Source organism: Homo sapiens, chromosome 3, assembly GCF_000001405.40.
Source record: "Homo sapiens chromosome 3, GRCh38.p14 Primary Assembly".
Lineage (NCBI taxonomy): Eukaryota > Metazoa > Chordata > Mammalia > Primates > Hominidae > Homo > Homo sapiens.
Window position 1 is genome coordinate 184,249,655 of NC_000003.12, and position 12,260 is coordinate 184,261,914.

The following is a 12,260-nucleotide window of genomic DNA, read 5'->3' on the forward strand; positions in this document are numbered from 1 at the left end:
CTGAAGGGCCGGCGGCTCTGGCTGCCCGGCGGTTGAGAGCATGGCCTCTCCAGGGGCAGGTAGGGCGCCTCCGGAGTTACCGGAGCGGAACTGCGGGTACCGCGAAGTCGAGTACTGGGATCAGCGCTACCAAGGCGCAGCCGATTCTGCCCCCTACGATTGGTTCGGGGACTTCTCCTCCTTCCGTGCCCTCCTAGAGCCGGAGCTGCGGCCCGAGGACCGTATCCTTGTGCTAGGTGGGTAATCCCGGCGCGGCCCCGCCAGGTAGAGCTGGCAGGACCGGCGCCGCATGGGCTTGGCCTGGTCCGCTTTCCTCCCGCCTGTCTATCCCTCTTGGAGGACGCCTGCGTTGGGACGCGAGATCCAGCTCCTTCAGAGTCCCGGCTGTATTTAGTCAAGGCTAACAGGAGTAAGAGATTGTTGGTCCCGGGGCCCTCTGGAGAAAGACAGTCCCTCAGAGTTTGAGCGTTGGGGGTACCCAAGACCCTGTCCGGACCCTCGGGAGGCAGGCAGCCTTGGGGACCGGATTGCTCAGAGGACCGAGATCAAGTCCTAGCGCTAATTGACTTGTAAAACTTAGGACAAGTCATGAACCCGTTCTGAGCTTTAGATTCAGTTCTAGAAATGGTACTGCGAGTTCACATCGGAGGCGGCACGCGCAGGCACCTCGAGAATAATGCCCAGCGCTTTTCTTTTTGCCCCTGGGCACTGGGAGCCAGAGTCACCTAGAGAGAGTCCTGTCTGAAACTTGGTCCTATGCCTTAGAGAGTGAGAACAGCACCCTCTAGGGGTGGAGGGGAGATTGCCGCCCAGGGTGATACGATTCCCCAAAGGGAGACGTGCTGGAGGAAAGGTAGGGCTCTGGGGTGTTCGGCTGACCTCTTGAGGTTCTCTCCTAGTGTCAGCCTTGGAGGCGCTAGTAAAGTTTGAATGAGCAACAGATTTTCTTCCAATTGTCGTTTTTACTTTGCTCTTTGTAAAAGCCTTTGTATGTTTAAGTGAAGTCTTTAATAAATAAAAAAGGTATATGTAATATATATGTAAGGTATAAATAACAAATCTAATGTGTGTGTCTATTCCACTCAGTTTGAGAAATAGAACATTACTAGGGATAGAAAAAAAAGTATAATTTAGTGGTTAATAACTTGGCTGGGCGCGGTGGCTCACGCCATTAATCCCAGCACTTTGGGAGGCCAAGGCGGGCGGATCACCTGAGGTCGGGAGTTCGAGATCAGCCTGACCAACATGGAGAAACCCCATCTCTACTAAAAATACAAAAAATTAGTCGGGTGTGGTGGCGCATGCCTATAATCCCAACTACTTGGGAGGCTGAGGCAGGAAAATCGCTTGAACCAGGGAGGCGGAGGTTGTGGTGAGCCAAGATCATGCCATTGCACTCCAGCCTGTGCAAGAAGAGCAAAACTCTGTCTCAAAAAAAAAAAAAAAAAAAGAAAAGAACTTGGACTCTGGGCTGGCCTCATGATTCATGCTCATAATCCCAGCACTTTGGGAGGCCAAGGTGGAAGGATCACTTGATCGCAGGAGCTCAAGACCAGCCTGGGCAACATAGTGAGATCCCATCTCTACAAAAAATTTAGGCCAGAGCAGTGGCTTATGCTTGTAATCACAACACTTTGGGAGACCAAGGCGGGTGGATCATTTGAGGTCAGGAGTTCAAGACAAGCCTGGCCAACATGGTGAAACCCCGTCTCTACTAAAAATACAAAAATCAGCCAGGTGTGGTGGCACGTGCCTGTAATCCCAGGTACTTGGGAGGCTGAGGCAGGAGAATCACTTGAGCCCAGGAGGTGGAGGTTGCAGTGAGCTGAGATTGCACCACTCCACTCCAGCCTGGGTGACAGAGTAAGACCCTGTCTCAAAAAAAAAAAAAATTAAAACTTAGCTGGGCATGGTGGCCTGTGCCCATAGTCCGAGTTACTCAAGAGGCTGAGGCAGGAGGATCGTTTGAGCCAGGAGATCCAGGCTGCAGTGAGCTGTGATGGCTCCAATGGGCTCCAGCCTAGGCGACAGAATGAGACCCTGTCTCAAAACAAAGCAAAACAAAAAACAAACAAACAAAAAACCACCTTGGACTCCAGAGGCAGTGAATTATGTTGGAATCTTGGCTCGGCTTATACTGGCTGTGTAATCCTGGACAAAATACTTGAATTTCTGTGCTTCCATTTTCTCAACCTTAAAAACATAAGCATATTTATTAATTGGGCTTTAAGTTGATTAAATGAGCATGAAGGATACCTAGAACAATGCCTGGCAAAATGAAAAGTATATTCAAGGTTCTCTGTGTGGTCCTCCTAAAACCCCTTCTCCCCACAAGTAAACACTTTCTTGAATCTGTGATTTTAAACCATTGCACTTATTTATAGATTTACCTTAGATCTGTTTTCTCAAGCTTTAGTGTGTATCAAAATTACCTGGGGAACTAGACTGCACTGTGAGATTCTAATTCCAGGGATGGTCTAATGTGGGTCTCAGGAATCTGTATGTTCAACAAGCTTCACAGCAGATTCTTATGCTGGTGATTGGCAGAGTAACACTGCCTTAAAATCTGCTTGACTGGTTTTTCACCAAACTGATGCTTTAAAAAAAATCTGCTTAACTGGGAACTATCCTTTTCTGGATAGGAGGGGCAAGAAGTCTAAAAATCAAAAGGGGAATTTCTAGAATCCCCAAGATGTAAGAACAGGACCCACAACTTGGGAAATACTCTACGTTACATTCCACCTCAACAGACTTAAGTTGAGTGCCTGATAAGAGCCAGAGAATGTGCTGGGCCCTTTCTAACTTACTTAATCCTTATGACAACCCCTGAAGACAAGTCAAAAGTACTAAGAGACTTACTCCAGGTTAGGGGTCTGTAAACTTTGTTTGAAAATGGCCAAACAAGTAAATTTTTTAGGCTTTGCAGGCTACACAGTCTCTTTTACAATGACTTGGTTCCGCTATTGTAGTGGAAAAGCAGCTACAGACAATACAAAAGTGAATGATGGCCGGGCAGGGTGGCTCACGCCTGTAATCCCACCACTTTGGGAGGCCGAGGCGGGCGGGTCACCTGAGGTCAGGAGTTCGAGAGCAGCCTGGCCAGCATGGTGAAACCCCGTCTCTACTAAAAACATAAAAATCAGCCAGGTGTGGTGGCAGGCACCTGTAATCCCAGCTACTCCAGAGGCTGAGGCAAGAGAATTAATTGCTTGAACCAGGGAGGCGGAGGTTGCAGTGAGCCAAGATTTCACCACTGCACTCCAGCCTGGGTGACAGGGTGAAACTCCATCTCAAAAAAAAAAAAAAAAAAAAAAAAAGTGAATGAGAATAGCCATGTTTCAATATAACTTTATCTAACAAAATAGGTGGCAAGCTGCATTTGGCAACCCCTGCACTCATTGTCTTAGATTGAGTTCCCCAGAAGCAAATCCTGAGATGAGGATTCATGTCCAAGTTACTTGTCAAGAATGTGCTCCCAGGAGAATTGGTAAGAGCTAGAGGGAACAGAGAAAGGGAAGAAGCAAAGTTTCCCTGAAGGTAGTTTCAGCCTGAAGAGTCACAGATGTACACCATTAGAAGCAAACACACACCAAAACCCAGGGATATAAAAATAAAAATCGGTAAAAAGACTCCCAGGGCATCTGGTCAGAACACTGACAGTGTCCACTACTGTCATGCAGCAAGGAAGTGGTAAAGTAAGGGTGCTTTGTGACACCACACAGATGGGAGTAGGGAGGCATCTGGAACTCTTAAAACTGGTAAAATGACTACATTGTGAATTATAGCCTAATGGTCATATGGATATAGCTAACAATGGAATGTCACGACTGAAGGTGAGTGGGCCTCTTGAAAACTGGGAGGCAGTTGAACACAGTGGTTTAAGAGCTCTGGCTCTGGAGCGATAGAGGCCTGGGTCCAAATTCTGGCTCTTCCACTGACTATGTGACCTTGAGAAAGTTTCTTACCACTTTCCTCAATTTTCCCATGTAGAAAATGGGAATAGTAATAATAGTGTCTTTTTTTTTTTTTTTTTTACATGGAATCTCGTTCTGTTGTCCAGGCTGGAGTGCAGTGGTGCAATCTCAGCTCACTGCAAACTCCACCTCCTGGGTTCAAGCGATTCTCCTGCCTCAGCCTTCCGAGTAGCTGGGATTACAGGCGCCCACCACCACACCTGGCTAATTTTTGTATTTTTAGTAGAGACGGGGTTTCACCATGTTGGCCAGGCTGGTCTCCAATTCCTGACCTCAAGTGATCTGCCCGCCTCGGCCTCCCGAAGTGCTGGGATTACAGACATGAGCCACTGTGCCCAGCCAATAGTATCCTTTATATGGCTCTAACATGAAAGTAAACTGAAATAATTCTTATAAATGCTTAACATAGTACTTGGTGTTCAATGACTGTTAGCTATTATTATTTTTATTGAAAATGGGAATCAGAGAGGCAGTTTATCCAGGACTGTTCAGAGAACAGAGTACCCTGTTGGAAGACTCGTGTGTCTGGTCCCTATGGCTGAGACATCCTCATAGCAAATGAATGTATATGGATGGCTGGCCCCACTTTGCTGTTATTGAGCTTCTCCAATTTGTTATGCTTGCTTGACTTCATGCTCTGTAGGAATCTTCTTGTTTTTTTAGAGACAGGGTATTGCTCTGTCCCCAGGCTGGAGTGCAGTGGTGTGATCTTGGCCCACTGCAGCCTCTTGAACTCCTATGCTTAAGCGATTCTTTGGAATCTTTTGATCATAATCAAAAATTAATTTGGAAGCAGCCGGGTGCGGTGGCTCATGCCTGTAATCCCAGCACTTCGAGAGGCGGAGGCGGGCAGATCACAAGGTCAGGAGATCGAGACCATCCTGGCTAACACGGTGAAACCCCGTCTCTACTAAAAAAAAAAAAAAAAAAAGAAATTAGCCGGGCGTGGTGGCGGGCGCCTGTAGTCCCAGCTACTCGGGAGGCTGAGGCAGGAGAATGGCGTGAACCTGGGAGGCGGAGCTTGCAATGAGCGGAGATCAAGACTCCGTCTCAAAAAAAAAAAAACTTAATTTGGAATCAATTTGACTTCCAATTTAGATTTCCTATAAAGAGAAAAGGGACTGGCCAGAGGATTCAACTCCTGTTCCCATGATGGCTATTTTTCTTGTTATAAATTAGTAAATTGGCATTCTGGCTTATATTTCAATCTCTTGGTGTTGAGTTAGGATCCACTCAGCTCTAGGCCCTCATGTGATGTATTCTTGGATATGGATCAATTCTCCAAGGCTCTACTTCCCTCAGGCTCCACTTTGGAAGGCAGTGGCTTTCCCAAGCCCCTTCTTAGTTGCTGGCCCCAAATCTCTGAGTCAACAGAATCAAAAGTCACTGCTTGTAAAAATGACTGCCCCAGTGACCAGCTTTTGTTTCCCCTTCACCTTTGGTAAAGTTATCTTGGAAGATGCCATCCTGTACTAAGGAGAACAAAGGAAGGAAATCTGGATTTGTCCACAGTTTGGCAGAGCTCTACAGGTATATGAGGTCAGGTGTGGGGGTAATGAAGGGATTGTGGGTCAGCAAACCCAGTGGGATTTCAACCTGGAACTAAGTCAGGTTCTGCCACCCTTACCCCCATCCCATGTGCTGTATCTATCATGGCTTTTTGTGGCTTCAACTTTGGGTAGCACATGTTGGGTTTTCCTAGGCAAGATAGTTTTCCTTGAGCCCCAGGGCTTGAAGAGGAACATGGGAAGGGGCAGCTGGGGAGCAAGCAGCCAGCTGCCTCTGGGTACATTGTCCAGGTGCCAAACCCTGATAGATTAGGGCTATCCCAACTGCTGATCCCATGATCCTCTTAGGGAGGCAAGTGGGGATTAAAGGAAATCTAATCCCAAGAGCTGAAGATCCCCAGTGGGGCTATCAAGAGCTGTCACCCAGCTCCATTGTCAAGCTGGGACTGGCCATAGGAGGGCCTGGAAGAGGCCACTGGATCTTCTAAGGAAGTCATGCCCATTGGACTATAGATCCACATCCACTCCTCTCACCTCTATCCCTTCTCCATCCTGACCCTACCCCCTTTGGGACTGCTTTCCAGGCACTTCCTACCAGAGTGTTGGGAAGTTGTCAAGACTCTGTTCTTCAAGACTTTGCTTGGTTGTCAGCTCCCCGGAAACTCTTGGCTGACTCACCTGAGGTGAGGTCCAGACCTTCCTGTGTGCTCTCACAGCCTGTCTCTATTGAAACACTCATCATGTTTTGCAGCAACTGTCTGATGACACATTTGTTCCTACTGGAGCATGAGCTCCTTGAGGGCAGGGACTTTTATTCATGGGCAGAGCCTAATATGTAGTGCTCAATACATACGTTAAGAATTGCGGCCAGGTGTGGTGGCTCATGCCTATAATTCCAGCACTTTGGGAGGCCAAGGCAGGTGGATCACCTGAGGTCAGGACCAGCCTGACCAACATGATGAAACCCCGTCTCTATTAAAATACAAAATTAGCTGGGCATGGTGGTGCGTGCCTGTAGTCCCAGCTACTTGAGGTTGAGGCAGGAGAATTGTTTGAACCCAGCAGGCAGAGGTTGCAGTGAGCCGAGATCGTGCCTCTGCACTCCAGCCTGGGCAACAAGAGTGAAACTCCATCTCAAAAAAAAAAAAAAAAAAGAAAAGAAAAGAAAAAAAGAATTGCAAGGAATTAGTCAGCTCCACTGTGTGTCCCCACCTAGTTTCCCCTTCACTTGTTAATTCTGTTTTGGAAAACAAAGTAGAATAACCCCTAACATGAGGCCTTCCCAGGGTTGATATCTTCTAAGGTTTTCTAAGAGGTTGGGGATTAGGATAATACTAATTTATATCATTATTATGCTACTGATAATATTATGGTCCTAATGATACCAGTATTATCCCCATTTTGAATTTGAGGAAACTGAGGCTCAAAGAGTTGAATGATTTGCCGTGGCTGTGTGACTAGGAATATCAGACCCAAATCTCTGAACTCCTAACTTTAGAGCTCCTTCAGCTACTCTACAGTTCTTAATTCTTTTTTTTTTTTTCTTTTTTTGAGACGGAGTTTCGCTCTTGTCACCCAGGCTAGAGTGCAATGGCACAATCTTGGCTCACCGCAATCTCCGCCTCCCGGGTTCAAGCAATTCTCCTGCCTCAGCCTCCCAAGTAGCTGGGATTACAGGCATGTGCCACCACGCCTGGCTAATTTTGTATTTTTAGTAGAGATGGGGTTTCTCCATGTTGGTCAGGCTGGTCTTGAACTCCTGACCTCAGGTGACCCGCCCTCCTCGGCCTCCCAAAGTGCTGGGATTACAGGCGTGAACCACCGTGCCTGGCCCCTAGCTCTTAGTTCTTAAGTTTAATGCATCATATCCTGTATATGGCCTACGTATTATTATCTTCATTTTTCTGAATAGGAAATCCAAGTTTTAGCCAGGCGTGGTGGCACGCGCCTGTAATCCCAGCTCCTCAGAAGGCTGAGGCAGGAGAATCACTTAAAGCCGGGAGGCGGAGGTTGCAGTGAGCCGAGATTACACCACTGTACTCCAGCCTGGGCGACCGAGTGAGAATTCATCTCAAAAAAAAAAAAAAAAAAAAATCCATGTTTCTAGTATTTAAACAACTTGTCCCAGCCCACACAGCTAGGAGTGATAGAGCCAGGGTTTGCACCCAGGCCTGTGCGATTCCAAGGCTTGTGCTTTTTCTGCACTCTGCCACCTCCTCTCAGTACTAGAGGGTTTGGATTGAGAGAAAACGGGGCCAAGAGTGGATGGATATTCAGGGGGAGGTGAGAACCAAAACTAACGTAGCTCTTTTGCTACCCATTCCCTCCCACCCCAGGTTGCGGGAACAGTGCCCTGAGCTACGAGCTGTTCCTCGGAGGCTTCCCTAATGTGACCAGTGTGGACTACTCATCAGTCGTGGTGGCTGCCATGCAGGCTCGCCATGCCCATGTGCCGCAGCTGCGCTGGGAGACCATGGATGTGCGGAAGCTGGACTTCCCCAGTGCTTCTTTTGATGTGGTGCTCGAGAAGGGCACGCTGGATGCCCTGCTGGCTGGGGAACGAGATCCCTGGACCGTGTCCTCTGAAGGTGTCCACACTGTGGACCAGGTGTTGAGTGAGGTGAGGGAGCAACAAGAGAGGAAAGCAGATCAATAGGTGGGGCTGCGGGGTTGAGGTTTCAGGGGACTGGAAGAAATCAGAAGCCAGAAGCATGTTTTGGAGCAAGTAGTGGGTCGCCCTCAGGAGTGTGGCTCTCTGAAGGGAGGGAAGGGTTAAGCGGGGTCGAGATTTATAGAGGCGGCTGGAGTAGTCAGGCTCACAAAGGCTGACATGTGGTTACTGGGTTGCCATAGGGATGAGGTAGCAGCCAGGTTCCTGACAGGTGACAGAGACTGCCAAGGTGAGCAGTTATAGGAAAGTGGTGCCCCTATACCTGATATCACTCCTATACCCTTCCCTGAATAGAATATAGCCCTAATCCCAAGGAATGGCCAGGGGCAGAGAAAGTGGCTCACTCTTTGCCATGGAAAGCCTGAGCTACAGATGTGGGGTGGTTCCTGAGGTTTGACTGGGAGAGCATCTGGAGCAGTACTGACCTTTGAGAACCTGAAGATCCACTTCTCACCAATGGCTTCTCTGTCTGCCTTGCAGGTGAGCCGCGTGCTTGTCCCTGGAGGCCGGTTTATCTCAATGACTTCTGCTGCCCCCCACTTTCGGACCAGACACTATGCCCAAGCCTATTATGGCTGGTCCCTGAGGCATGCTACCTATGGCAGCGGTTTCCACTTCCATCTCTACCTCATGCACAAGGGCGGGAAGCTCAGTGTGGCCCAGCTGGCTCTGGGGGCCCAAATCCTCTCACCCCCCAGACCTCCCACCTCACCTTGCTTCCTTCAGGACTCAGATCATGAGGACTTCCTTAGTGCCATTCAGCTCTGAGGCCAGAGCATGGTCCTCCACCCTTCCTGCCATTCTGCCCTGGGCTCCTCAGGTAGTTGGAATTCCTGACTTAGGACTTGGGGTTGGGTCCAAGGTGCTTACATCCCAGGGGCCTCATGCCTAAGATAGAGGGTGGGAGCGAACCCACATGAACCAATACAGCCCAGCTCCAACTAGATCCAGATTCCAGGTTTCTTGCTTCTTTCTTGGGTTCCTCAGTTCTCTCCTGGGTTCCCCAACCTCCTCTGCCACCACACCAAACCACCAGTGATGCATCCCCTGGGGCAAAGCTCATCATAACCCCTCTGCACACCAGCCAGCCTGGAGACCGTTGTTCCTGGGGCCTGTTACTGATCCTCATCTAGCCTTGATTTATCCACAGGAGACTGCAGGCTTTGAACCTAGATTGCTTTATGTTTCTCACCCTAGCTCCATCCCCAACACTGGTGACCAGTCACGCCTGGGTTGTATCTCTACCCAAGGAGGCCACATCATAATGAGGTTCCCAGGCCAGCCTGGCCTGTCTGTCTTACTTGGCAACCGTCCCTCACCAGCAACATGCACCTGAGATTCCCAAGTACCTGCCCCCCCTCCCATTTTGGCCTGGCTCCTGAGACCTAAGCAGCGGCCACACACACACAGAGGGGGTCTGTGTTTATTCACACACTCCTGGTACAGTGAGGATGGAGGAACATTTACGAAGGGCACCCCTGGGTTGAGAACATCTCCGGGGCCACAGATGTCATCCAAAGGTTCAGAGCAGTCCCCATTTGGGTTCCCAGGGGCAAGACGCAGGGGTCCAAGGTAAAATCGGATCTGGGCCCTTGGAAGGTGATGATACCTTGGGGAGAAGGGGTCTGCCAGAAAGCCTCCTGGGGTCAGGCCTGGGCAGACTGGCCATGTGGTTGGTAACCGTGTCGGGGGCTTGTCTCATCCCAGCCTCAACACCCATCCTATCTGCCAGGCGCAGAAGAGCGTGGCCGAGACTGAGGGGAGGGCAGGAACCATGAGCAGAGCCAGTAAACAAAGAGTCGGATATAAAAATACAAATGTGCTGAGGAAGTCCCTTAGAAAGAGGCTGAGGCTGGGGTCACGCCAGACAGGGGTGGGGGCGAGGAACGGCCCGGAGGACTGGGCTCAAGTGGGTGGAAAGCTCATGCAAGTACGCAGCCAAACATCCCTGGCCGCGCGCGGTCCGACACCGGCGGCCGCCCGGTCTGCAGACCAGACTGGCCGGAGGGGGGCGGGGCAGGGGAGCCGTGCGGGAGGGGGCGGGCCGGGGGCTGGGGGCCGCGGGTCTCCGTGTCCGTTCCGGTGTGCGGGGTGGGGCTGCGGCCCGAGGTTTTAAAGTGCATGAGCGCGGCGGCGGGTTCCGGGCGGGTCCGCGCCGCCGCTACCGCGGCCGCCGTGGTGCTGAAGCGGACAGCTCCGGAGTGCCTGGCGGCGGCGGCGGCACGGCCCTGCAGCCCCCGCCCGCGGGCGCCTGGGCCGGGGCGGGGGGGCGCCGGCAGCCGCATCGCCGGCCCGCGCTCCTGGCCGCTGCGAGGCTGGGCCCGGAGCCCGCCGCCCGAGCCGGCGCGTCTACACTCCGGACGGCGGCTTCTCCCCCATCCCCTTCAGCACGTCGTCTATCCGGTCATCCTCGATCACCACTGCGCAGGGAGAAAGCGCGTCAGCCGCGCGGCCTCGGGGGGCGGCGGCGATGAGAATGAGCCCCGCGTCCTAGCTTCCCGCGCAGCTACTGCCCGTGGCCCAGCGACGCCCCTCGGAACCCTGTGCCGCGGTGTCCTCCCCGTCCGAACTCTTCTGGAGACCCAACCCGCCGCCAAGCCTAGACCCCCTCCCCTCCCGATGGCGGAACGCCCCTCTTCCAAAGGCTCCAGCTATTCTCCCTCCCAGTGCGAGCCCTCCTGCCACCTGAGCCTTCCTCCCTCTGAGTTGATCAGAAACCTCTTGCTCACGGAATCCCCCTCTTCAACCCGCACTTCAACAGATCCCCCTGCTCAAATGGGGCTCAAACCGAGTATCCAGCTGGTCCAGCCCTCTCCTCAACCTGAGCCCTCTCGCCGCTGGAACCCCTCTTCCGATCCTGGCACCAACAGAGCTCCCCTCCCCATGCAAACAACCAAGACAAGCGGACCCCCGGCCTCCTGCCCTCTCTTGTTAGACGTCCCTCTCGACCCGAAGGTTCTTCGTATTGTCCACCGACTCAGTATTTGATCCCAAAGAATCAGCCCGTTACCCCGTGCTCCCACTTCCGTGCAGCCCCAAATGCCCCGACCGGCCCCTCCCCCTCGCCCGGGTGCCAGGGCTCTGCTTCCAGAGGTGGCGAGCATCGAATCCGGGGCACCGTGTTCCCGGGAGAAGGGAAGAGGGGGACACACACTGCAGCGGGGACCCCCCCCTCCAGCCCGGGCTGGAGAGCGGCTGGTGCGCTGGTCTGCGGCAAGAGCTGCGGGCACTCGGCGGGGAACGGCAGCCGGGGGGCGCCCGGCGGAGGGTTTCTGGGTCAGGCGGCGACTCCGGGCCCGGGCCGCGTACCTCGCTTGGCTCGGCCGATCTGGCCCAGCTTGGGGGGTCGCTTGGCCTGGTTGCCCGCGAAGAAGGAGTTGGTGTCCTGCAGGCGGCAGCTGAAGGAGAGGTCGGAGCCCTCGGGGTCTGCGCCGAAGCGGCCCATCTTGTCTTCGCTGTAGGGCAGGATCTCGGACATGGCGGGCGCGGGGTGGGCGCGGGGCGGGAGCGGGACTGCGGCGGGGCGCGGGCGGCGGGCTTGCTGCCGGACCGGCCCTACCTCAGCAGGGGAGCCGGCGGAAGGATGAAGTCATGCAGCATCCGGGGCTGAGGAGCCAAGCGGGGCCTCCTCCCCCGCGCCTCCGCCTCCCGGGCCGCTGGGCAGGCGGCGGCGGCGGCGGTGGCGGGGACCGGGCGGGGGCGGGGGCGGGGGGCGGGGGTGGCGGCGGCGGCGGCAAGAGCGGAATGACGATGAGCGCCCGACTGCGGCAGAGCACGGCGGGCGGGGCGCGGTGGAGGCGGGGCGGGCACTGGCCAGGGGAAAGAGGCGGGGCCGGGGGCAGGAGCGCGCCCAGCTACCCCGGGAACAGAGGCAGCTGGAGTGGGAGGTTCCCGCACTGTGGCGGGGAATGGCCAGCACGTGGGTCTTGGGGAATAGTACCAGCCAACCCGGCCGGGACCTCGCGGGGAGGGGCGGGACCGAAGGGGGGTGGGATCGAGCCTGGTACTGGAGGAGCTTGGAGGAGGGTCTGACCCCTAGGCTGGGAGAGGCGTGCAAGGGGGACTGGGAGCAGGAGGGCAAAAGCTGGCCGGGCGCGTTGGGGCGGG

General features: G+C 53.4%; 3 protein-coding genes across 3 annotated transcripts in view, besides 3 other annotated features; 2 read left to right on the plus strand and 1 right to left on the minus strand.

Annotated features, from left to right (window-relative positions):
- EEF1AKMT4 (EEF1A lysine methyltransferase 4) lies at positions 18–9,105 on the plus strand. Its single transcript, NM_032331.4, has 3 exons — positions 18–236; positions 7,819–8,102; positions 8,634–9,105. The coding sequence occupies exons 1-3, from the start codon at positions 41–43 to the stop codon at positions 8,919–8,921; spliced, it is 768 nt and encodes a 255-aa protein (NP_115707.2). The 5' UTR covers positions 18–40; the 3' UTR covers positions 8,922–9,105.
- Positions 18–12,260, plus strand: part of EEF1AKMT4-ECE2 (EEF1AKMT4-ECE2 readthrough) — a 43,360-nt gene continuing 31,117 nt past the window's right edge. The window contains exons 1-2 of the mRNA NM_014693.4: positions 18–236; positions 7,819–8,102. Of these exons, the coding sequence (NP_055508.3) occupies positions 41–236; positions 7,819–8,102 (480 nt within the window). The 5' untranslated portion in view covers positions 18–40. The remainder of the gene's footprint in view (positions 237–7,818; positions 8,103–12,260) is intronic.
- Positions 9,437–9,623: a silencer, noted in NCBI's record as "fragment chr3:183976879-183977065 (GRCh37/hg19 assembly coordinates)". NCBI's record gives its function as "represses an EF-1alpha promoter that drives an FKBP-Casp9 reporter gene in an ReSE screen in HepG2 liver carcinoma cells {active_cell/tissue: HepG2}" and the evidence as "EXISTENCE:reporter gene assay evidence [ECO:0000049][PMID:32094911]".
- On the minus strand, positions 9,559–11,899 carry CAMK2N2 (calcium/calmodulin dependent protein kinase II inhibitor 2). The gene is made up of 2 exons (NM_033259.3): positions 11,463–11,899; positions 9,559–10,573 (listed from the first exon to the last, which is right to left on the minus strand). Exons 1-2 carry the CDS (start codon positions 11,629–11,631, stop codon positions 10,503–10,505), a joined length of 240 nt encoding a protein of 79 aa, NP_150284.1. The 5' UTR covers positions 11,632–11,899; the 3' UTR covers positions 9,559–10,502.
- Positions 10,003–10,553: an enhancer, noted in NCBI's record as "H3K4me1 hESC enhancer chr3:183977445-183977995 (GRCh37/hg19 assembly coordinates)". NCBI's record gives its function as "activates a minimal SCP1, AML or CMV promoter by ChIP-STARR-seq in naive H9 embryonic stem cells {active_cell/tissue: H9 hESC(naive)}" and the evidence as "EXISTENCE:reporter gene assay evidence [ECO:0000049][PMID:30033119]".
- Positions 10,554–11,105: an enhancer, noted in NCBI's record as "H3K4me1 hESC enhancer chr3:183977996-183978547 (GRCh37/hg19 assembly coordinates)". NCBI's record gives its function as "activates a minimal SCP1, AML or CMV promoter by ChIP-STARR-seq in naive H9 embryonic stem cells {active_cell/tissue: H9 hESC(naive)}" and the evidence as "EXISTENCE:reporter gene assay evidence [ECO:0000049][PMID:30033119]".